The following is a 26361-nucleotide window of genomic DNA, read 5'->3' on the forward strand; positions in this document are numbered from 1 at the left end:
GGGAGGCTGGATGGAGGGAATGTGGCTTCAGCTTGTGCCAGGAGAGTTTATCTGTCTTCCCTTCTAGGGAAACTGAATATAAAATCCTTAGGCATAAAAAGAATCTTTCATATGTAGACTCCTTGGGAATTCAATTCACACTCTTCTGTACTTTCTTTCTCACTGTTTCTTTTGAACTTGACGGAAAAAATTTCTTATGCTGTTCACTTACCTTGCTCTCAGATAAAGAAGAGAGAGAGAGCTAAGGTGCTTAAATGTCAAGGTTTGTAAAATTGGCAAACTGGCCCCATGAGGTTTGTGGTTTGAATGATGGGTCTCCATCAGGTTTGGTGACAATGATAGTGAAGGAGTCTAAGCTGGTAATGTAGCAGATGCTTTTTTGGCCCTTCCTCTGTTTCAGTCACTGTTCTGAGATCTATGTGTGCATTAATTCATTTAATCATCCCAATGACCTTAGGAGGTAATGGTGTTATGATTGATGCTATTGTTAAATTACCTTACTTTTTTGCAGATGAGGAAACTAATGTCTGAGAGGTAAGTGTTGTGCCCGAGTTCTCATGGCTAAGAAGCACAAGAGCTTAAATTTGAATCCCTGCAGTTCGACTATAGACTGTGGTTCTCAACCAAGGGCAATTTGTTCCCCCACCCTACAAGACATTTGGCCATGTCTGGAGAGATTTTAAATTGTCATGACTTGGAGGGGTACTGCTACTGGCTTCTAGTGGGTAGAGGTGAGGGATGCTGCTCGATCGTGAGCCCCGTAATCAAGAATTATCAACCCAAAATGTGACGATTGCCAAGTCTGAGAAGCCCTGCTCTGCAGACAATATGTCTCAGAGTTCTGGTGCTGATCAGACAGCACGTTTCTGGGGCTCAATATAGGCGAGCCAGAGATAATGCCCACAGAAAAGGGAATTGTAATTAGGAGAGGATGATCTTTGGCAGTATGCATTTGTGAGCAGACACTCCTGAAAGGACAGGGCTGAGGGTACCTTATGGTTCTGTTTCTCCCTTAGGATGGCAGCATCTGATAACCAGATACAAAACCTGAGAGGAAATTTTTAAGCTGTGACTAGTCTGATTCCCAGCTGGCCAGCTGAGCCACCCTACTTCTGTGTTTTCTGGTGCAAAGAACAAGGTTCTACCGAGTGACCTTAGACTTGGCTTCTGGATAAAATTGTCAGAGAGCTCCTAGCATTTTGCCTGAGCCATCACAGGGAACCTGGGTTTGGAATCTCAACCACTCATGGCAAAGTTATTTTCATTCCCCTTGCTCTCACCTGCCCCCATGGGAATCTTCCATAGGAGAAATGTTCTAATTGGGCTCATTAGAAAATATAGTTCATGATTTTGTAAGAATCAACCGTAAAAGAAGGGTGACCTTTGAAATCCTTTGCTGGCTCATTTAAAATGCATTGAAGAGGGGAATTTCTTTTGAGCATCATCAATGCAGTTTGGTTTTAAAGTGTTCCAGGAGTCAGGCCCTCTCTCTGGGCTCCCCAGGGACTTACTCCTGCTGACCCAGAAGAGGTTAGCTTTACCATCCCCTCCCAGTTTACTACATTCCACCTAAACTTCCACTGTACTTTTGGAGAATTGCAGTCATGAGACCAGCAGTCTTGGCATCACTTGGGAATTTGCTGTTTATCTCAGGTTGTAACTCAGATCTCCTGAATCAGAATCTGTATTTTAACAAGATTCCCAAGTTATTCATATAAACTAATCTATAAAGTTTTGTTTTTTACTCTAAAAGTTGTTCTCTAGGAACTGTGAGTCCAAGTGGATGGCAGATTTCCTCTCTCAGTCTGATTCTGAATTTTTAGAATGTGGACATTCTGTTAGCTGAGCTCCAAGGCACTGTTGCAGCTCAAAAATGTTGTGATGGCCCAGACTTCTGTAGCCAAAGAGTTCCCAAACAGTCCTACCAATACACCTAGGCAGAGATGTTTGAGCTGCTCTACCAATGATATTTCATACACTCTCAGTTGACCATCAGGCTCTTTGCCTGACCTGTCCCACTGAGAAAGAAGATTTCCTGTTAACCGCCACTCTATTTTGGCTGTGACAGGTTGTCACTTATTTGATCTGACTTCTTCCATCAATCAGCAGTTTCTCAGTCCAGTTGCCATGTCTCTCAGGGCATGTGAGTTAATCTACTTCTCGGTCCTCTACTTTTATTGGGACTGACATCATCTCAATATACTCTTAAAAGTGATCCCAAGTTTCTAGGTTGAGGCCCAGCTTCAAAAACCTCATTCCAGGGTTCATGAATGCCTGGATCTATTCATCTGAATGTTTGCACAAGTTTTAAGATCACCATAGTGTGAGGTTTATTCCCCTAACCTCTCTATTTAGCTAGAAGGCAGTAGGCTGTGCCTGTACCCACCAAGCAGGTGGCATTGTCATACAGACCTCAACCAGAAAGGGCTGGTGCCCTGGTTGATGATGGGCTCATCAAAGAGGTGTAAAGTTTCAGAATGAAGGGGGTTACAAAAGCAAATGTCAACAGAGGCCATAAGCAATGGGGCTGGGGCCTATTGACACAGGACCTGGGAGACTGCTGTGACCACAGGTGAGGGTGGGAGGACAGCAGATGCAGATTCCAGATGGTTTTTCCCAGGAATAAGGGCATGCCCAGGGCCTTTACATGATCGGATCTTTTTCAAAGGGAGTCTGAAATCTGGCTTATGACATCTTCCTGTCTTTAAAATATTGGTGATAATTCAATTTTCTTTCTTAAACACACTAAGCAGGCAAAAAGAAAAACATCTGCAGGGTGGAGATGCTCGGGTAGGGACAAATCAGTCCTCATGTCTTGATTGAGCCTCTTCCAGAGCTCCAGCACCTTGTGTTTTTCAAAGTTCAGTTTCTGGATCTGCAGTGGCAGAATTGTACAGAATGACCATATGCCATTCCTAGTCCCTGCCCAGGACAGCCAGAACCCAAATTCTGTAGATGATTCCTGGGAATTTGTCCTTCATTGTGCTTCTGAGGGTGCAGAAGTGTGATTGTTATAAAGCCAGGTGATACGCAAAATACCAAGAGATGTAAAAGCATAACCTCACCTTAGGGCCCGAGAATCTACTAAAGAAAATATGATTATTATATATGAAGTGGTACATTTAAAAACCAGCATGATGAGAGTACGTGTGTAGAATCTGGCCCAGGACTGGGGATCACTCAGATCAGTTGCCTTAAGCACTAGGCAATGACCAGTTTCCTTGGAATTTTGAAGGGGGCTGACCTTTAGTTTGGAGGTCAGCCTTCAAGGACTAGTCTTGAGCTAATTGAATTTCTAAGCACAGGCATATAGATGTGGTTTGAATACTCAAATACCTCAGGTGGCAGGCAGATACATGAGGGAGGGAAGCAGGCCAATGTGAGATGGAGTAAGACGTGGAGTAGGCTGTGGAAAATTGGAACGTTCCTGGCCCTGCTAGAAGGGGCAACTAATTCTCCAGAGAAAAATAATTACTAGAGACCTAAACTAGGTATATTAAACAAAATACAGCTGTGAACTGCTAATTGACAACTATTTAGATTAATTTTATTAGAGGCTCAGAGATAGAGAGCTACATCTGCTTTTGACTTTGCTGCTATTTGAACAGGTCACTTCCACCTTGCAGGTTCTTAGATTCTTCATATGTCAAATGAAAAAATGGCCCAGATGCACAAAAGCTCTAGCACTCTTGTTCTTTCTGTCCTGCAGGGCACTTGTGTTAGATAGTAGTCCTCCCACTGAGCTTTGGCCAGTAAAGAGCACCAATAACAACAGTAGAATAATGACCAGTGTTCACAGAGTTGTTGCAGTGTGCAAGACATTGGGGTGGGTGGTTTTTCTTCTAGAAAATAAGAGCAAGAGAGGAAGACAGGCAGGCAAGAACAAGCATGGTATGTGCACAGACAAAAGGAAGCCAGAGAAATAGAGCTGAGTTTCTCTTTGGTTAATGCTCAATAAAAGTCAATTGTTTTTTTCTAATGATTATTTAATCTTGCAGTAAATGGGCAAAAGTCATTCATATGTTCATTAAACACATTTATTGAATACGTATTATATGCTAGTGATTGGTAACTGTTAACTTGTCTCAGACCAATACCCATAGGCAGACCTTCCAAAAAGAGGATTGGCCTCTGTGTTTTCTGTTGCTATAATAGAATACCAAAAACTGGGTAATTTAAAAACAATGGATTTTTTTTTTTGGCTCATGATTCTGGAGACTGGGAAGTTCAAGATCAAGGGGTTGCATCTGGTGAGGCCCTTCTTGCTGCATCATATCATGTTGGAAGAGCAAAGAGAGGATGAGAGGCCAAGGGGAACCAAATGCATCCTTTTATAAGGAGCCTGCTTCAGCAGTAACTAACCCACTCCTGTAATAACTAATCTACTCCAGCAATAACTAACCCAACTAACCCACTGCAGCAACAACTAACTGACTCCTGCAATAATGGTATTAATCCATTTATGAGAGCGGAGCCCTCATACCTAATCACCACTTAAAAGTCTGACCTCTCAACATTGAGGCTTTGGGGATTAAGTTTCCAACATGTAAAATTTGGGGAACACATTCAAATCACAGCAGCTGCCAGTACTCTGTAGAAACTGGCCACTGCCGAGTGCTTTAAGAAGCAATCCTGGGGCCAGGTGCGGTGGCTCACGCCTGTAATCCCAGCACTTTGGGAAGCCAAGGCGGGCTGATCACAAGGTCAGAAGATAGAGACCATCCTGGCTAACATGGCTAACACGGTGAAACCCCGTCTCTACTAAAAATACAAAAAATTAGCCGGGCATGGTGGCGGGTGCCTGTAGTCCCAGCTACTTGGGAGGCTGAGGCAGGAGAATGGCATGAACCCTGGAGGCAGAGCTTGCAGTGAGCCGAGATCACGCCACTGCACTCCAGCCTGGGCGACAGAGAGAGACTCTGTTAAAAAAAAAAAAAAAAAAAAAAAAAAAAGCAATCCTGCTGCATTCCAAGTCTTGGATAGCAACCCTTGCTGCCACTGCCACCACCATTGCCACCCATTATGCCAGGTAAGAGATGGTTTCTTCTTCAAGCAGGAACTATGAAGTGACAAATTCGGTCTCAAGCTTTTCTTATTATAGATCCACAACTGTAAGGCTTGAAATTAAGCTTCCAGATCAGGGAAGGAGCTATAAACCCTGAGCCAGTTTTAGGGATTGGCACTGAGACTCCAACTTACCATATTGCTACTGTATTCTGGCCCCAGGTTATGCCAGGGGAGGGGTGAGTGCTTCCCTAACTATTTGGCTTTAAATGAAAAAACTAATTTTTTTTTCTCTCTCCATTTTCACACGTTTCTCAGCACAACACTTCTGATATCACATGTGTGTTTTGCAGGGGGCTTGGGGAGCAGGTTCCCACACACCAGGTAGTTATCCAGTAGACACCAACTATGTGTCCTATAACTCAATTCTGACATTTTCTACTGGGAGATATCATCAGATTCCACAGATTATGGGCTCAGTCCCACAAGACTGTCCCCCACTTCAGATGCCAATAGCAAGTACTAGGTTGTCACCTAAACTTCTGATTGACCAGCTATAAATCAGGGGTTCTCATGACACCCTCCTTCGGTTCATTTAATTTGTTGGGATGGCTTAGTGAACTCAGGGAAACACTTTACTTGGGTTTACTGGCTTATAATTAATGACAGAGTAAAGGATATAGATATGAATAGCCAGATTGAGGGGATATATAGGGCAAAGTATATGGGAAGGGGCCTGGAGCTTCCATACCCACTCTGGATAAGCTGCTCTCCAGGAACTTCCACATGCTCAGCTTTCTGTAAGCTCCCTGTTCTTTTGGGTTTCATGGAGACTTTGTTAAGTAGGCATGATTGATCAAACCACTGGCTATTGGTGATCAACTCAACTTTCAATCCTTTCCCCTCCCCAGATGTCAGGGTTTGGGGCTGAAAATTCCAACCCCTTAATAAACATGGTTGGTTTCCCTAGCAACCAACCCCAATCCTGAGGCTATCCAGGAGCCAACCGAGAGTCACCTCATCAGAACAAAAGATGCTCCTATAACCCAGAAAATTCTAAGGGATTTAGGGGCTCTGTGTTAGATGCTTCCTATCACTCTGAAAATTACAAAGGTGGTCTTAGGATCTCTGCATCAGGAACTGGGGTCAAAGACCCAATACCAGAACAAAAGATTCTCCTGGTATCTCTATATATGAAGGTCTTAGGAGCTGTGTCTTTGGAACTGGGTCAGGAATCAAATACATATTTCTTACTATATCACAAGACCACAGCAGCTTAAAAGCCACATAGCCTGTAAGTCAGGGTCCTCCTACCGGGGTCTGAGCTCTAAATTGCTGTGGCTCTGAGTGCTGCTCCAGAATGCAATGGGCAATGAGTATCTACGTACCTGTTTCTGCTCCCCTGTCCATGAATTTTCCCCAGTGAACACTGCTCAAGCCAGCCTTGTGTATCTGACGTTGACCATCTTGCTTGCATGACTGCCAGGAGCTGGAACCGCAACAGAGAACAAGTCAAAGTCCCTGCCCACCTGAGGTTTACATTCCAGTGGAGAGACTGAAAATACACAAGTGAGCAAAGAAACATGCAGCAGACTGCAGGTGATTGTAGGGTATGAGAGAGACTGATGAAGGCTGGGAGGAAGAGGCTTTCTAAATACCATGGCCAGGAGAGACCTCCTTGCTGAGGGGGTAAATGAGAGCAGAATGCATTTAGGGATGCAAGCCACAGGCACTATGGAGGAAGAGGAATACCGGAGGAGGGGAACAGTGCCTGCAGATATGTGAGAGGCTATCTGTGTGCAGCATATGATGTGTGGTTTCCAACTGGAAATGAGGACTGTGGGTTATTTCTTCATTTCTCAAATACTTTGAACAATTATTGTGTGCAAGGTGCTGGAAACACAGCTATGATAACCCACAGGCCCTGCCCTCAAGGAGGTTACCCTCTAGGTAGGAGTTGATGTATATGTGGGGAGTAGAGGAGTGAGGTAAAGAACTGAAGAGGCAATGACACTGCAAAGTGACCAGTGCTGAGATGGGATAGAGAGGATTGTGGGAACAGGGGATAGCAGGGAGGAGCCACTGAGGAGGCGGGAGCTGCCAGACAGCTTAATTTATCTCGCTCATGATCAGTATAGCTTCAACAAACAGCAATGTTTTTACTGTTTATTTTTAGTTTATCATAAAGCTAAACATGTTTTTTTTAAGTTCATGTCCATCCTACATTTGAGGCTTTCAGTTAGCCTTTATTTTTAGATTAAGATGTTATAGTTGATGGTTCTAGTACCTTTCATATGCAAAACAAAATGCTCAATATGAGAGGGAGGGAACTTTTTAATTTTGTGAGACTGAAATTTGAATATCCAAGAGCCACTGCTCCAGCCAAATGTCCTGCCAATTCTGTCCTTATCAAAGGAAGCTTATATTTATTGAGCACTTACTACATACAAGACACTTGTCTAAGTACTTCCATGTGCTTTGTGGATCTTCAAGCTAACCCTGTGAAGAAGGGTAGATTATCATCCCCATTTTATAGATGAGGAAAATGAGGCACAGAGAGGTAAGGAAACTTGCCCGTGGTTATGCAACTAGTAAGTGTCAGAGCTGGGATTTGATAGGGAAATTCCAGAACTCATGTTCTTATCTTCCTCTTCCCCACAAAAAAAACAACCAGCAACTTTTGGAATATTAGAAGTCAAAGCTTTGATTATCATCTATAGCTCTTTTTCTTTCTCCCCTCCCCAGTACTGGCTTTGGAAACTCTTGGATAAAAATTACCCTAGAACCGAAGAGAAGAAGGAACCCATAGATAGGCAAAGATTCTTGGACATTCCCCTGAGAAATAAAAATGCTTTGCCAGCGAGCTCACTGTGCATATTTGCTGCTCCACGGATGCGTCCCAGTTGGGCCAACTTCTGTTCTTGGCTGTTTGAATATATCCTGGCAGCTCAGAGGTGTAATTTCTCCAAATGCCGCATTCCTGCTGAGCCCATGGGATGAATTGTGCAATTTCGGGTGAGCACTTTTTTAAACTCTAGCAGTGCTTGTAGTTTCCTTCCTCCTACTTTCTCTGCAGGCTCCACATGGAAGATTGAGGGCTGAGTGGTTGCTGGGGCCAGGGGTACAGAAGGTGGAGTGCTGGGATGAAGAGACGGAGAAAGGCAGGAGAGGGAGAGGAGGGTGGCAGCATCAGCTGCCCAGGCAAATGCCAGAGCCCCACTTTGAGAATTGAGATCATCTTTAATTTCCTGGAGTGTTCATTCATTCATGCATCCACTTGTAAAAATATTTTTGCATTATTTGCTTTATGCCAGATACAATTTGGGAGTGGGAAACAGAAATACAGGGACAGGTGGAATCTCAGCTGTTAGGAAGGCAAGTCTATCTTATGATGAGCATACATAATGGGGGACAGGGTTAAAACAATCAAGGAGACCAGGGACATCTTCTTGGGGGGCACACTGAATTGAGCAGAAGTATGAAGGCAGAAAGGGGTTAATTCAGTACAGAGGAGAGGAAAGAGTGTCCGAGGCCGGGGGCGGGGAGGCGGGCAGCCTATGAAAAGTTTCTGGGACAGGCAGGAGGGTACCTGAATATATGAAGAATTCAAAAGCAACCAATCTCCTCCCCACTCCATTTATGAGTGCTGACTGTGTGCTGGCCCAGGCTTTGGACTTTATAACATCATGATAAAGCTTGCCGGGATTTCAGATTTTCAAACAAACAAACAAAAAAACATTTTAAGAAGCTAAATAATTTTTCCACAGCCACATAAGTAATGCATAGTGGCATGGAAATTCAAGTCCAGGTTTGTGTGATTCCAAAGAAGGGCTTCTTGACCACCACTTTATATTGTTTTCCTAGAAATCTCTCATCATTTGCAGAGACCTATGTACCCTATGCATACTTCTGTCCTGGTTCTAACATTGAAAATGTGAGTAGATTGATTTCCTATAGAATAAATAGAAAGTAAAGATAAAAAATAAAGTCACAATATCTAAAACTGTGGAAGTGATGCAGTTGTCCATTGAGGAATAATTGGATAAATTGTGGTGTACACATACAATGGAATATTATTCTGCCTTAAAAAAAATTCTGACACAGGCTACAACATGGATGAACTTTGAGGACATTATGCTGAGTGTAATAAACCAGTCACAGAAAAGATAGTTTATGATTCCCTTTATATGATAAATCTAGAATAGACAAATTCATTAAAAGCAGGTGGTTTCCAGGGCTTGCAGGGAGGTGAAGACAGGGAGTTATCTAATGGGTTTAGAGTTTTAGTTTTGCAAGATGAAAGGAGTTCTGGAGATTGGGAGCACAATAATGTGAAAGTGCTGTCACAAACTACATAATAGTGTTGCAGTCAGCAACGAACTGCATATACAAAGGTGATCTCATAAGACTATAATACCATATACCTTTTCTATATTTAGATATGCCGAGATACACAAATGCCGTTGTGTTACAGTTGCCTACAGTATTCAGTATAGCAACATGCTGTAGAGGTTTGTAGCCTAGGAGCAGTAGACCATCCCATCTAGCATAGGTGTGTTGTAGGCTATACCATCTAGACTTGTGTAAGTGCACTCTGATGTTCCCACAATGATGATATCCCATAACAACACATTTCTCAGAATATATTCCCATGTTATGACACATGACTGGACTTAAGATTGCTGAACTCTGCATTTCAAAATGGTTAATACGATGGGCCAGGTGCAGTGGCTCACACTTGTAATCCCAGCACTTTGGGAAGTCGAGGCAGGTGGATCACTTGAAGCCAGGAGTTCGAGACCAGCCTGGCCAAAACATGGTGAAACCGTATCTCTGCTAAAAATACAAAAATTAGCTGGGCATAGTGGCACACGCCTGTAGTCCCAGCTACTCAGGAGGCTGAGGCAGGAAAATCACTTGAACCCAGGGAGTGGAGGTTTCAGTGAGCCAAGATCGTGCCACTGAACTCCAGCCTGGGTGACAGAGTGAGACCCTGTCTCCAAAAAAACAAAAACAAAAACAAGCTAATATGCTGCGTGTCATGTGTATTTTGTAAGTAAAAATGTTTAAGGAAAAAAAGGAAGAAAAGAAATTTTTTAATCATGCATAATTTCATCTGGAAATAACCACTGTTTAAAAAATCAGCATGTAAAAACTTTTAGACATGTTCTATGTAAATGACACATGGGAATCTTTATATGTTTGCACATAATCGGATCACATGATACATACTTCGGTAGCCCATTTATTTTCCCTTAGTATGTCAGAAACTTATTTCTAGGTGAGTAAATACACATTCACATTATTATTAAAGACAATATAGTAGTTCCCATCAATCAATATCCAGGACGTGCACCATGGTTCACAATTATAAACATCATCATAATCAACACACTTAGGCTCAGTACCCTCATCTGATTATTACCTTGGGATGCAGCCCCAAATTGGAATTGCTCTGTTGATTTTTGCATTTGTGAGCCCCTTAATACTCCCATCAAATGGCCCTTTTTAAAAAGTTGTACCACATTATATTATTTCTAAGAGTTGTCCTTCTGCCTGGACCTTTACCCTTTTGTGTTTGATGTCAGCTTTACAATGTATCAGTGGTATGATCTTGGGCAAAGGGGCCTCATTTGTCCCAGATGAATATGGTGCCTATTCCACAGGCTGAGGAAGGAGTAAATGATGGAATCCTCATACAGGGCTGACAGCATACAGCAGGTGCTCAGTATGCCTTCACTATGCTGTCATTACCTTCTCCTCATTCTCCAGGAATAAGAGCTCCTCAAGAGCAGGAATACCACACCCAGCTCTGGTGCAGCCTGGTATCTGTTGAACCAGTGTGAGCAGATCAGAACAGAGCGAGTGATGTGTGAGTGTTTGTAGAAAGCCTTAGAAAGAGAACTAAGAGAAAAGCTTATTTCCTGGATCCAAGGGAAATGGAAATAAGCAGCATACTGTGAGGACAAATGGACACCTCTGCCTTTCTTGCTTTTACTTCCAGGTGTGTAAGCCTTTCAGTCCTGCTTTTAAATAATTTTTCATTTGCAACAAAAGGTTCCTGGCTGGGCAGGCTGGCAAGCATCCCCAAGCGGGCACAGAGGGTTCATTATTCCCAACTCCCTTATGGAGCCAGCCAGCCTGTGTCACTGCAATAGTGGGACTTTTCTGATCAATCTGAAATAAGGAGCAGGCCCAGCATGGCCATTCATGGGCAAACCCTTTTCCTCTGATAATGAAAGTCAGGATCTGAGCAGACCTGCAGTGTGAGTCCATCTGGGAAAGGCAGCTGGTGGGGTTCACGAGGATCCAGCCAGCTCTTCTAAGGGGCTTTCGCCAGATGCTCTGAGGATCACGCTGCAGGTGGGGTTGGGGATGTGTGGTGCCTTTTAGTCATCTCTCTCTCTCGAAAGATATTTGATTTCATGGAGCTTCTTTTCATCCAGAAATCATCCTGAGTTACTGACTCTGAGATACAGACTTGGCAATGGCAGTCAGAAAGGGACTCATCTGTGCTCATTTAATGGGATTTTTTGTTCTACAGAGATCCAGAAACTTCCAGAGGCAGCGATGGTAGGAGGCAGGTTAGGGCTTGAAGAATTTGGGAGGTCAGTACTTTTCAGAAGTTCTAACATTTGATGAATGGGGATACTGAGGTCCAGAGAGAAGGAGCTTGGTGAAGGACAGATGATAATCAGCCTGGATTTTAAGTCTCTCCCTCCCTCCCTTCTTTCCTTCCCTCCTTTCCTTTCTAACTAGCATTTTGGCTCTCTTTGCATGTCAGGCATTGTGCCAGATGCTTTCCTCCATTAGTCCTTCCAACCACCTGTGCAGTAGGTTTTATTATTAGTTCCCTTTCACAGATGAGGAATGTGAGGCGCAGAGAAGCAAAATTACATGCCCAAGATCTCACAACTAATACACTGTAAAATCATTTCCTTTCTCTCCCTAGAGGTTCTATAGCCTTGATGGCAGGGGAGCAGGTTCTTATTCTCATGAAGAATCCTGAGGAAACAATCCTCTACAAGAAAGCAAAGTCAGCAGCCAGTCAGCCTGGGCACAGCAGTGCCAAGCTCAGGTCAGGAGGTCCTGCTTCATGGGCATCAGCCAGCCGTGGGCAGACCAGCTTGGCTACATAGCACAGTCCTCCTTGCAGCCCCAGCAGGAGTCTAACATATAATTATTGAAGGGCTCATGGGAACCCACAGAGCAGGGAGCAGAGCATGGGATTGAGACCAGGGTCTCTGGAATCAAATCAAATCCCAGCTGAGCCACTCTGGAGCAATATCTTGGCATATGTTTTATAATATCTCTGAATTTCATTTTCTTTATCTCCCAAGGAGAATCATAACAGAACTTAGCTCATAGGTTCATGAGAGAATTTAAATAAAGTGATCAGTACAAAATAACACGCATGGTGGACCTAGAAAGGATTCTACAAGGCCGAGCGCAGTGGCTCACGCCTGTAATCCCAGCACTTTGGGAGGCCGAGGCGGGTGGATCATGGGGTCAAGAAAGCGAGACCATCCTAGCTAACACGGTGAAACCCCATCTCTACCAAAAATGACAAAAAATTAGCCAGGTGTGGTGGTGGGCACCTGTAGTCCCAGCTACTCAGGAGGCTGAGGCAGGAGAATGGTGTGAACCTGGGAGGCGGAGCTTGCAGTCAGCCGAGATCATGCCACTGTACTCCAGCCTGGGGGACAGAGCGAGACTCCATCTCAAAAAAAAAAAAAAAAAAAAAAAAAAAAAAAAAAAAAAGGATTCTACAAATAGTAGAATCCTTCTAATAGTATCATCATTATCATCATCATCATCAACAACAACATCATCACCATGACATCATAAAAGACCATGTGGCAATGAGCCTTTGATATATTATTACCATTAGGAAATCATAGCAGGCTAGGATGACATCTCTGCAATGTTGGTGGCCTTTATTGGTGGCAGACCCTTGTAGCAACAGAGAAGACCTCACAGGAAATTTGTCTTACATACTTATTTATCCTTTTCAGCTAGAACAATTTCTGAGTCATTGTAGCTACTTATTAAATATTTTCTGATTAATTGGATGAATGAGCAAATAAATAAATGAAAGAATTAACTACTCTCTGGCCTGGTTCAAAGGTCATTTTGCTCTAGCAAATACTCTTGGATCAGGAGATGGAAATGACAAACTACTCAAGAACAACCTGAGATTTACATCTGCAAACCCAAATACTCAAATAATATGAATACTTAATAAATGGTAATCATTGCAATTTGTTGCAAGCTATGCCTATGTATTGATGGTGTACTAAGCACTTAATGTGAATTATCTCACGATACTCAACACCTTTGAGGTAGGCATTATTATTATCCCCATTTTACAGATGGGGAAAATAAGGTTTGGTGAGGGTAAGCAGCAGTTCAAGATGATGCAGCCAAAGTAGCAGCAGATCCTGGATTGGTTCCTGGGTCTGTCTGATTCCAGGGCCTGTGCTTTAAAGCACTACCCTCTTTAACCTCCCCCGGTCTTCACTGAGGGTCAAATGAAACCCTAAACTCAGCTTCCCTCTTTTCAGAGCAGAAGGATAGATTTTGGGAAAGATAACCATGTAATATTGGGTATCCATGGACAAATGGAGGGTCAGACAAAGATAACTTTTCAGTCCTCTAGCATCTATAGTACCTCCTCCCTGGCCAATTACAGGCCACCCCTGGCATGCCCAGAACACCACTACCTTTGCTGCCTGTACCAGCTCACTTATCAATGTTTGTTCAGTGTCCCATTTCCTCCAATTTCCTCTGTACTCTAGTTCTCCCTAGCAACCAGTTTGAGCTAAGACATCAAAAGTGTGTTTTCCAGACAATTCCTCCAATCTCTGGTGCTCATTGTGAGAAGGAAGACCAGACCTGAGGCCCAGGGCTCCCATCTTCCCACCCCGACTTTTAACGGAAGAGCTCAGCCTCTAACTGACCTTGGTCTACCAGTCTGGTTCCTGCACTAGATTTGAACAAAGGGTTTTTGTGAAGCAAACAAACAAGTAAATAAATAAACTTAACTACTGGCTTAATGTAATCCACAACTTAGTCATTGAAAAATACTTTTTGGGCCGGGCACGGTGGCTCACGCCTGTAATCCCAGCACTTTGGGAGGCCGAGGCGGGCAGATCACGAGGTCAGGAGAACGGGACCGTCCTGGCTAACACGGTGAAACCCTGTCTCTACTAAAAAATACAAAAAGTTAACTGGGCATGGTGGCGGGTGCCTGTAGTCCCAGCTACTTGGGAAGCTGAGGCAGGAGAAGGGCATAACCTGGGAGGTGGAGCTTGCAGTGAGCCAAGATCGCGCCACTGCACTCTAGCCTGGGCGACAGAGTGAGACTCCATCTCAAAAAAAAAAAAAAAAAGAAAAAAGAAAAATACTTTTTGGTGCCTGCTCTATGCTTATTCTCAATATCAGGGATTTCAAGGCAAGGAAAGTCCTTGCCTTCATGGCTGTTATATTCAAGTGGAGAGACAGGAATTAAACTAACAAGTTGACATAGAGATAAATGAGAACAATAATGGTATGTGTTAAAGAGAGCTAAAAGCAGGCAATATGTCCTGCATGGTAAAGCTGAATGATGATCTCCAAAAGGATATCTAAGTCCTGACCCCTGGAATCTGTGCATATTACCTTATATGGCAACAAGATGTAATTAAGAATCTTGGAGGAAGGAGATTATCCCAGATTGTACTGGCGGCCCTAAATGCAATCACATGCATCCTTTCAAGACGGGCAGATCTGGGAGCTCACATTGGCAAGATGGCTAACTAGAGTTGCCTGGCATTCGTCCCCCCCACAGAAAGGGACCAAAACAATAAATAAACAACTATAGTTTGACTACAGTGACTGAGGAAGTATGTTGGAGAGCCCTAAAGGAGTGGCAAAATCCTAGTGGAGCACGGACGCCCAAAATAGCACCATAAAAGAAGGAGAAAATCATCTTGCATCTACCACATTGTCTCCCCTGCTGGGATCAGCATGGAGACATGGTGGATTTCTTCTTCCAGGGAAAAGATAAGCTGGAGACCTATAGCAGTTCCTATAGCCACTACAGATGCCAGTGGTCTTTGCTATAGGAGCATCCCGCAGTCTTCACGGGCTCTGAATCCAATTAAGAAAGTTGCTAGGAGTTCATGCAGCTGCATTGCCCCAGAGTAGGAGCCCAGGTCATGCATCACCCCCTACCAATCCTATGACCTAAGCTGCTACAGCATGGTGCCATCTTGAAACCAGACCCACTGCTACAATGTGTCCTGACCTGGGGGCCAGTACCACTGCTCTCTCCATTCTTGAGGCTCTGCCATCATTTCATCATATTCACACCAGTGCCTACATCACCATGATCCTGGTTATGTGAAGCCTAGGCCCAGTGGAATGACCAAGATCCTGGTGTCCAAACTGATGTAGCATAATTCCCACCAGAAAACTGGCAGATCTGCACAGTGGGGAAGCCACTGAACAGCGGGCCATCCTACCCTGCTCATGTGTTCCTGTGCCAAGCCTGACAGCCATCTCAGTGGTGATCCCACCTCCCCAGAGACATTGCTGCACAGCCAGCCTGCCTGCCATGCCTGAACATGCCTGACTTGAAAACCAAACCAGTGCCCTTGCCCTCAGTAAGACCATGCCACTGCCATCACAAACTCCCACAGCCTTTGGCACTGAGGCAATCACAGACATTGCTGATGAAGATTACAGCTGAAGAAATGATGCAAAGACCATGCTACTGAGCCACCCAGAACCAAAGCCCATGTTCCATACCCAACTGTCATCAAGAATCTGTCTACAGAGAAAAAGTCTCTCCCTACAAAACTACTCCATCTAATTGTAAAAAGCAAGTTTTCCACAAGATGTGCAGACATCAATGTAGGGATAAAAGAAACATGAAAAAGCAAGGAAACATGCCACCTCCAAAGGAACACAATAAATCTCCAGTAGCAGACTCCAGAGAAAATATTTGCAAAATGCTTCATAAGAAACTCAATGATCTTAAGAAAAATCAATGAGATACAAAAGAATGTAGATAAATTCAATGAAATAAAAATTATGATCTGAATGAGAAATGCAACAAAGAGATATTATAAGAAAGAACCAAACAGAAATCTTGGAGCTGAAGAATTCAGTGAATGAAATAAAAAATACAATTGAGAACTTCGACAAAAGACTAGATCCATCAGAAGAAAGACTTTCTGAACTTAAAGACAGGTCTTTTGAAGCAAACTAGTTAGAGTGGAATAAGGAAATAAGAATAAAAAAATAAAGTATACAGGACTTGTGGGACACTATCAAGCAAACAAATACTTACATTATAAGGGTGTCAGAGGGAGATGGGATCAAGAAAAGCGAAAACCCTATTTAACAAAATAATAGCTGAAAATTTACCAGTCTTGAGAGAGACATGAACATCCAGATCCAGCAGGATCAGAAGTCCTCAATTAGATTCAGTTAAAAAAAAACTCTCTGAGGCATATTATAATTAATTTATCAAAAGTCAAAGAGAGAATTCTAAAAGCTACAAAAGGAAAGCATCAAGCCACACACAAGGGAATCCCTATTAGATTAACAGCAGCTTTTTCAGCAGAAACTTTGCAGCCCAGGAGAGAATAGGATGATATATTCAAAATGCTGAAAGAGTGTGGCACTGCTGACACTTTGGGATCTCATTTCTGGTCTCTAGAATTGTGAAAGAATAAATTTCTTTGTTTAAGCCACCCATCTTGTGGTAATTTGTTATAGCAGCACCAGAAAACTAATACATATGGCTACTTTAGACTAAACGGTCAGGAAAACGTTCTCAGATGCAGTAATGCTGAAGCTGATGCATGAATGATAAGAGGGAACCTCCTTATGAAGATCCAGGGGAAGAATACTGCAGGCAGAGGGGACAGACAGTGCAAAGACCCTGAAGCAGGAACAAACTTGGCTTGTCTAAGAAGGAAAATTAGTGTGGTAAGAATATAATGTTGAAAGGAAGAGACTTATATGGGAGGTTGAAGTCAAAGGTACAGGAAAGAAAAATACATAAAATTTCAAAAAGCCAGGGCAAGGAGTTTAGATTTTATTCTAAGTGTGAAGGGGTTCCATTGCAGGATTTATAGAAGGGGTTGATGTGTACACTGTACATTTTTTTTTTTTTTTTTGAGACAAAGTCTCACTCTGTCGCCCAGGCTGGAGTGCAGTGGCGCAATCTTGGCTCACTGCAACTTCCGCCTCCTGGATTCAAGTGACTCTCCTGCCTCAGCCTCCTGAGTAGCTGGGACTACAGGCTCCTGCTACCACACCCAGCTAATTTTTGTATTTTTAGTAGGGACGGGGTTTCATCATGTTGATCAGGCTGATCTCGAACTCCTGACCTCGTGATCCGCCCACCTTGGCCTCCCAAAGCGCTGAGATTACAGGCATGAGCCACCACGCCCAGCCTACACTTTACATTTTTAAAAGTTTACTCTGGCAGCTGTATGGAGTTTGGAATCAGAGGGGCAAGAATTCCAGTAGGGAGGTCAGTTAGGATGTTATTATAGGGTCCAGGTAGAAGATGTTCCTGATTTGCACTAATGTAGTGGTTGAAGAGAAAGAGAAGAGACAGTAGATGGATTTGTAATAGATCATGGAGTAAACTAAATGGGAATTGTTTCTGGATTTGATGTGGTTGTGTGGGTAAGTGAAAGAAAATTTGGCTTGAACCACTGGAAAGATAATAGTGCTTTTCACTGAAATGAGGAAGGCATAAGTTGGGAAAGAAAACCAAGAAGGCTTTTCTTACATTAAGATTGAGATATATATAGACTTCCAAATCTGGGCTTAAGGAGTAAATCTAGATTTGGAGACACAGAATATGAGAGCTATTGACATAGATATTTAAAGTACAGGACTTGGTGAGATCCCTGGGGGGATGGGAGGAATTTATATAGAGAGGCAAAAGGAGCCCAAAGCTTCATCCTGAGGTACCAACACTGCAAAAAGGAAGAACCAGCAGGGGAATATGAGACAGACAGTGAGAGGAAAATATTGCAAATGTGATGTCTCAGAAGCCAAGAGAAGGAAGGATGCCTAAAGAGGGAGTCATTAACCATATCAAAATAAGTTCTTCTTGCCAGGTAACTTATGTGCATTTTCACTGGGCAGTCAGTGTCTTAGCTCTTGGCCAACAGGTTTCTTCTCAACTGCCATCTCATATCATTGGCAGTGGCCCCCTAGAGTACTCTGATGAAAAGGATCCCTGTGCCTTGCCTGAGCTTGGCAGGAAAGCCAGCTGTGATCAGCTGGTGATGGCTGTGTGAAAAGTTGGGCAAGAGTTCTTTGTGTTTTATGATCCTGCATAACCCAATGGAAAGACATGAGTTACGGTCATTTCAGGGGCTTTTGTAGTTTACAAGGAGCTAAACTGTGGCTAGGGCAGCCCATCAAATCAATCCCCAGAGCCAAATCCATCTTCATGTAAGGCCTACCCTGTAGTGGATACGAGATTAGTTGTAGGACTGCTTAAGGAAGAAGTAGATATAAAGAGACAGAGACAAAATGTAGGGGCTATAATTTAAACACCAAAAAGCCATCAAGGTTTTGAAGTCTAACATCTAGATTCAACTCTCAACTCTACCACTTACTATGAGGATGTGGGTAAGTTCATCCAACTGTCCTTAGTCTCTTTTCTTTACATGCTGAGTGATACTAATGGAATTGTGAAGCAATAAAAACATATGAGGCTAAGACTCCTGGGAACTCTAAAGATCTATTTCTTGAGGGTTCAGGATAACTCTTGGAATCTGTTTCTTGAGGGTCCAGGGTGACACCTTTAATTTAGTTTTCTATGACATAGAAGTCTATACCTCTAAGGCTATAGCATCCTCTTTATAGAGTGTCTGACCCATGATAAGTTATTAATAAATGATCAAATAAACTTGGAGAACAATGATACTGATTTTGTGCTATTGAGACACTGTATAATCAGATTTGGTTAGATGGCAATCCCTTATTAAAGTTTTAACCAGTTACAACAACAAAATATATGTAACTATTTTTCCATGCTCCCAGCTTTTGAGGAGAATACCATGTGGTCACAGCTCAGCTACTGGATCTCTGTTGGACAGATCAGGGTAATGAGTAGGAAGGCTGAGTTGAAGAAGGTAAGGGAAGGAAAAGTAGATTCCTCTGCACAACTAAGCATGTGAGTCAATCGACTTGGGGATAAAATTATTTAGGAAGGTGGAGGAAGAGATTAAAGAGAAGAAGAAAGTGAAAGATGTGATAAGTATGGGCTGAACTCCTTGAAGATAGGAGAGAGAATTGAATAAGTACCATGAAGAAAGGGACCTTGGGAAAAGGGAGATGTGTCTATAAAGCTCTTTAAGGAAATTGCCATTTTTGGGTTGTTTTGGTTTTTGGGTTTTTTTTTTTTTTTTTTTTTTTTTTTTTTGGTGACAGGGTCTTGCTCTATCACCCAGGCCGGAGTGCAGTGGCATGATCATAACTCACTGTAGCCTCAAACTCCAGGGCCCAAGCCATCCTCCCACCTCAGCCTCTGGAGTAGCTGAGACTACCATGTGGTGGTGCACACACCACCATGCCCAGCTAATTATTATTATTATTATTATTATCATTATTGTAGAGATAGGGTCTTGCTTTGTTGCCCAAGCTGATCTTGAACTCCTGACCTCAAGCCGTCTTCCCACCTTGGCCTCCCAAAGTGTTGGGGTTACAGGCATGAGCCAGGGCGCCTATTCGTACATTGCTATTCAAGACACTTTGGAGAGTGTACATGTGGTTGAATAGCTTTATGCTTAGGCTAGCCTCAAGGTGGCCCTGTTTTATTTGGGTTACACTGGCAACAAAGCGCCTTCATACTCATCTTCTAATTTGACCTCATGTTAACACATCTGTGATAAAACCTTATCAGATTTTTAAATTATTATCCATCCAAAAAAAGGAGAGTCTTGACCTGTGTTACTGAGGTTAACAATGAGCAGAGCTGTAAGTAAAATCTAAGTCTTCTGACTCTCAGACTAGTGTGTTTTCTCTTCCTTCCCTCCGTCACTCCCTCCCATTCTTTCTTCCCTTCTCTCTTTCCCTTTCTCTTGCTCCTCCTGCTCTCTCACCACCCTATTCTCTTTCTCAATATATTGATGTTAGCAATGAACCACAAGCATAAGACATTCCTGAACCGACTTCAAGATTTTAGTTGAAAAGTTTTTAGTCCCAAAGAGTCCAAAGCAGTGTCTGCCAGGAAACAAGAAGGCCTGTGTGTGGTGTTCAAAAATGTGAAGACCCCAGAGGACTTACATTTTCAGCTTTTAGAGCAAAGGCTCATGAGTAGCAGCCCGTATGGTGGTATATGGATCTCGGCACTTTGCCTCCCGCATGCCAAAGATCCAGACTGCATAGGGATTTGAGAACTCGCCTGGGCAAAGCAGAGTTTTTAATAACTAGGAGACAGGATGCCGTCTGACAGGTTTCTGTGCTGCCGCTTCACGTTGGATCACACACACAAGCGTGAGTGAGTGGCCAGCTGAAGTCCCGTAGGGCTGCATTCCTACTTGCTTCCTCCTTCCTTGGGCTGCTGAAAGAACCCATTTGTGTACAGTTTGGCTAAGAAAAATCCTGTTGCTTTCCAAGTGATGCTTTGTTTGTTTCTGTTACAAAACATCTGAAAAATCAGCATTTCCCACTCAGCATCGAGCCAAAATTGACTGCTGTCTCTATATAATAAAGCGGCATATTTTGCCTCTATCTTCTAATTGGAAGACAGAAAGTCTCAACAAACAGAACATGTTTATTGATTCAGCTTCATCCCAGAAACTGGACGGCACCACAGGGAACGAGCAGAGAGAAAGACAGAGCGGGCTGACTTCAAATACTTTGCAAATGCTCCTTAGCAGTATTAATGAGCAGGAGACCGTGTGGTATGTTACAACCTCATGTGATGGAGTAAATGAAGGCAGGGCATACTGTTTTGTAATGAAGTGAAGATTCAGTGGTAAGTGGAAGTGCTCATTTCCTGAGTTGCTCATCGTCTTCTCTCGCTGATCTGGAAATATACGCGTTCCCAAAATGCAGAGATAATAAGGCTCTTATGAATGCAGGAACAAGTCTTGTGCACTTGCAGGGGAAAACAGAAATTCTTCAATGCAGTCTCAAAAGAAGCAGTAGAGAGGTAGAATTTAAGGTGGCACAGCTGGGCAGAAGGCAAGAAGAGACTTGCTCTTGGCCCTTGGCATGGGTCTGAATCACCTCTACTTTTCCTTATCTCATCCTGCTCCCTACTCTCCTCAACCTCTCTGCTCATTGTAGCAAAAAAGGCCTGCAATTGGATGGGCCTGGTCTGCAGGGTCCCTCTGTGGTCCCTTGATCATTTCGCAGCCCAGAAGGAGCTTGCAGAGGTTCAGGAATGTGCTGCTAATGAATACACAGAGCCAACCCTTTGGCAGAACCTACTGCTGTCTTGTCTGGCAACCTGTGGAAAGCGGAGGGCACACCTGCTGCTTGCTTGGATCCTGGCCTTGGGGGCCTGCAGCTCCCCTTGCCTGTTACAGATGCTTTTTTATTTGCTCTGCCTGACACCAACAATTTGTAATTCTTGCACACAAACCCCCCACGGTAGGTCAGGGGGCTCCTCCAGCTGCAGTGCAATCACTGCCAGATCTGATCCTCACTCTCACCCAGAACACAGGCAACCTTGATCGACCCTGAACTTCAGAGCCATCAGCAAGGGGCTTCTTTTCCTTTCGGAAGCTATCTGTGGTTCCTAACAACAATGGGGAGAGCCAAGAATCCATGGAAATTTGAGAGAAAGAGAAAGAGTAAAAACAGCATGAGGCATGGAAAACTTTGATTCTGGCAGATCTAGGCTCCAATCCCAATTCTGCTACTTGCTAGAGGCACCGTGGGCAAGTCCACTTAACCTGCCTTAGCCTCGGGTCCTCAGTCCTAAAATGGGGATGATCATGATTCATAACATTGAAGGAAAGCTTAACTCATACAGCCCATAAAAAGCCTTTGGGGACAGAACCGGACATAGATAGACCACATGTTGACATCTGTTCCTTCCATTCACCCCTCACCACCAGTTTTTGATCACTGAGCACTTACTAGGCATTCTATAAATGTCTGAAGAATGAAAAAAATGATTTGCATGAATCAATGAATATGTAATTTAAGGTCACAGAAATGAGGCTAACTGTTGTAATGGATTTAGCACTGAACTAAAAGTTAGATGATCTGGTTTTGAATTCTGTTATTTAGCTGAAGGAACTGCAGAGGATGTTTAATTGTGAAAATATTTGCTTAGCTCTGTTTTGTCTTATTTTTTTCTCATGATGTTTTTCATTAGAGAAAAATATATATAACAAAATTTCCCATTTTAATTTTTTTTTTTTTTTGAGATGGAGTCTCGCTGTGTAGCCAGGCTGGAGTGCAGTGGCACAATCTCGGATCACTGCAGCCTCCACTTCCCAGGTTCAAACAATTCTCCTGCCTCAGCCTCCTGAGTACCTGGGGCTACAGGTGCATGCCACCATGCCCAGCTAATTTTTATATTTTCAGTAGAGACGGGGTTTCACTATATTGGCTAGGATGGTCTTGATCTCTTCACTTTGTGATCCACCCACCTCTGCCTCCCAAAATGCTGAGATTACAGGTGTGAGCCACCACACACAGCCCATTTTAATCATTTTTAAGCATACAATTCAGTGGTATTAGGTACATTCACAATGTTGTACTACCATCAGCACTTTCTATTTCCAAAACTTTCTCATCCACCCAAACAGAATCTCTGAATCCATTAAGCAATAACTCACCATTTCTTCCTCTCCGCTGTCCCTGATAACCTCTATTTTATTTTATGTCTCTATTAATTTACCATTCTAGATATTTCTTATAAATATCTAGGAGTCATCTAATATTTGTTCTTTTGTGTCTAGTGTATTTCACTTAGCATAATGTTTTCAAGGTTCATCCTTGTTTTAGCATGTTTCAAAACTTTGTTTCTTTTTACACCTGAATAATATTCCATCGTATAGACATGCCACATTTTGTTTATCCACTCATCTGTTGATGGACACTTGGGTTGTTTTCACCTTTTGGCAATTGTGTATAATGCTGCAATGCACATTGGCATACAAATATCTGAGTCCCTACTTTTAGTTATTTTGAATATATACCCAGTAATAAAATGTCTGTTTCATAATGTAATTCTTTGTTTAGCTTTTTGAAGAATCATCAAACTCTTTTCCACAGTGGCTGCACTATTTTACATTCCCACCAGTAATGTACAGTGGTTCCAATTTTTCCACATTCTAGTCAACATCTCTTAATTTTTTTTTAATTTTAGCCACCCCTAGTAGGTGTAAAGTGGTATCTCATTGGAGTTTTGATTTGCATTTCCCTAATGAGTAATAATGATGTTATACTATCTGGTGTGTTTATTGGCCATATGTCTGTGTTCTTTGAGGAAATACCTGTACAAGTCTTTTGCCCATTTTTTAGTTAGATTGTCTTCTTATTGTTGAGTTACAGGAGTTCTTTATCTATTCGGGATGTTAAACTCTTAAGCAGGCATTAGACATATGTTCTAATTTAGTTTCCAATTGCACATATTTTTTTCCATTCTATAGGTTGTCTTTTCACTTTATTTAGCTTTATTTTTAATTAAAAGTTACAAACATACATAGATAAGCATGACTTAAAGTTATGAATGTGATTCCTTAGTTCAAGTGCCAGAATCAGCTTTGTAACTATTTATCTGTACCCTCCAGTGTAATGTCTACCCCTTGGCATTAAAGGGCAGGAAACTTGTCAGCAAAAGAAGTGTGTGACTTGATAGAATCTTATTTCTGTACTCCACTAGCTTCCAGGGAGCAAGAGGTATTGCTCTTGCAAATATTTTGTTATACTAAGTATTAACCTAAACTGATTAGATCCAGCATTAAACTCACCACAGCGCCATGCAATGTCTTCCAAGGTCTGCCTTATTCCCTTGGTTCAGCAGTGGAAGGAGAGAGTAAAGCGACCCAATTACATAGATTTCTAACATGGCTGAAGACCAAATAACCAGACAGCAGGGAGGATATCCCGACCCCAAAATATGGCCTATATTTGGACAGAGCTTCATGTTTACTTGAATACACGCTTCAGAATCCCAAGGGAGCATCTCTTAAAATTTGTATAATCTCTGAGTTAACTATCAAGCAGGAATTCTCCCCTCCTCACTTTGATAAGAGGCAATGGGCTCAGCCCCCTCTGGGAAATTTTTAGGGAAGAATAGGGAGACTCAGAAGCCTAGAAGGGGGAGAAAAAGGACATTGGAACAGTTTTTTCCTTGCCAGTACCCCTCATCCCCACTCTTAACCCCTTTGTACCTAGAGAAGAAATGGTCAGAAATGGGAGGAAAAGAAAAACAAGGAATTTTTTAAAAGTCAACTTTATCCATTTTAAGATGATGTAGTCTTACCACCAAAGTAGAAAGCATCCGCACTTCTGAATATCATCAGATCAGCAGGCATGAGAAACAAAGCTGAGGCTTTGAGGTCCCCAGTGACAGCCCTGGCCAAAGGAAGGGGTGAGGGCCCCTGCTCTAACATGCAGCAGAGAAAAACACCATAACTCACCACGTTTTTAGCCCAGGCAGGGGCTTCGGGGTGCAAAGGAAAAGACAAACTCTTCTCACCAGGGAGCTTCATAGAAACAGGCCAAGGGCAGTTAGATGTTCCAAGGTCCAAAAGGCAAGTTCAAGAATGTTTCTGTTAAGTGCTGAAAAGGAGGCTCGGCCTAGCATGAGACTCTGGGCCAGCTGCTTTGAGGTGTCTATAGCTGGAGGAAGCTTCCTACCAGAAAAGGCCAGAGGCCACTTGCATAGAAAAATATTTATTTCTTATCTGCAGAAACAAAAGAAGAAATTTAAGCACCGGTCTGAGAGTCCAGCTGGTGGTCTACTGGTACCAAAAAAAAAAAAAAAAAAAAAAAAAAAGAAAGGAGAGAGATAGAAGAGGAAGGAGAATGAGTGAGATGGTGATGGAAGAGAGGCATTGGCTTCCAGCACTCTAGCCAATGGGATGCCAGTCTCTTTGCCAAAATGTGATGCCAGGGGCTGCCTACATGATAGGTTCTGAGTGCCAGATGACAGCAGAAGTAGCATGCTCTAATTTTTGTTTGTTTGTTTGTTTGTTACCCCTCTACCTTGCCAGATGCCCATGAAGGGAGCTCTCCCTTAGCCAATAAACAACCAAGACTAATAGAATATCTTTGGCAAAGGTGGTTGGCAGAAGTCACTGCCATCTCAAGCATCAGACTCTAAGCAGGGACCCAGTTTCCTTGTTATACAAGCAAAATGTTGGCAGGCCACATGGTGAAAAAAGACTTGGGAAAAACATATACTTCTTGAGGGAAAAAAAGTCCCTAGTTGAGCCATATTGTTTATGTTCGGAAGAATCTTTCTGTTTGAATTTGGTTTCCAATTGGAAAACATCCGAGATATTGATCTTTCTACCAGAAAAATAGGGATAATGAGAACTGCTCCATGCACACAAGTAACTTGCCAAGGACCAGGGAAAGACACAGTCACTCTGTTCATGTCTGATTGATCTTCCTCTGACATTGGCATCAGGGTCAGAGGGTGGGCAGAGTGTGTAAAGATGTCTGAAGTCATTTATTCTCCAGGCACTGTGTCAGCAGCAAGTCTTTCGTGTCTTTCGAGCCCTGATGAGGGCATGGCTCCCTTAGCCAAGTCAGTACATCCTCTTCCCAGTGAAGAGCAACACTTTCCTGTATGGCACCTAGAATTAGCCGTGAGGCAACATAGGACTGTGATTAGTGGTCCAGGCTCTGAAGACAAACTTCTGCGGTGTCTTGAGTTCCTTGTGTCTTGGCAGTGTAGCCTGGTTGTCAATAGTGGAGGCTCAGAGCTAGAGTATCTGGGTTTGAATCCTTCATTTACTGGCTGTGTGAGCATAGACAAAATTGAAATCCTCACTCTAGATGACATGTTTCTTCTCTGAAAGAAAAAAAAAAGCATAATAGTACCTGCCTTGAAGGGTAGTTGGAAGCCTCAGATGAGCTACTCCAGGGAAAGTGCTGGGACTGGCATTCTGGCTGCCCGTCTTCTTCCCAGCCTTGCCTTGCTGGGAGACTTGACCTGTCCCCCTGCACTCTGGCCACTCCTACTTTCCTTCAGATTTTGCAACAGGCTGGGATTTCTCCTGCTCAAGGACCTTTCCTGGGGCTGTTCCCTTCCCCAACCCTCAACTCCACCTTTGCCTTCAGCTCTTAGCTCCCCTGTCATCTGCAGGGAGGTTTTTCATGCCCCCTAAAACAGGACCAGGAATCCCCTAGTACCATGCA

At 43.0% G+C, this 26361-nt stretch overlaps 2 long non-coding RNA genes across 2 annotated transcripts in view; one reads left to right on the top strand and one right to left on the bottom strand.

Moving 5' to 3' along the window:
• Positions 1-26361, top strand: part of CFAP20DC-DT (CFAP20DC divergent transcript) — a 724471-nt gene that overhangs the window by 546931 nt on the left and 151179 nt on the right. The window lies entirely within an intron of this gene.
• LOC339902 (hCG1813818) lies at positions 3526-24727 on the bottom strand. Its single transcript, NR_149028.1, has 4 exons — positions 24633-24727; positions 7874-7987; positions 6393-6493; positions 3526-3842 (listed from the first exon to the last, which is right to left on the bottom strand). It is a non-coding gene; the product is annotated as an hCG1813818 (long non-coding RNA).

The sequence above is a fragment of the Homo sapiens genome, chromosome 3, assembly GCF_000001405.40.
Source record: "Homo sapiens chromosome 3, GRCh38.p14 Primary Assembly".
In the NCBI taxonomy this organism is placed as follows: Eukaryota; Metazoa; Chordata; class Mammalia; order Primates; family Hominidae; genus Homo; species Homo sapiens.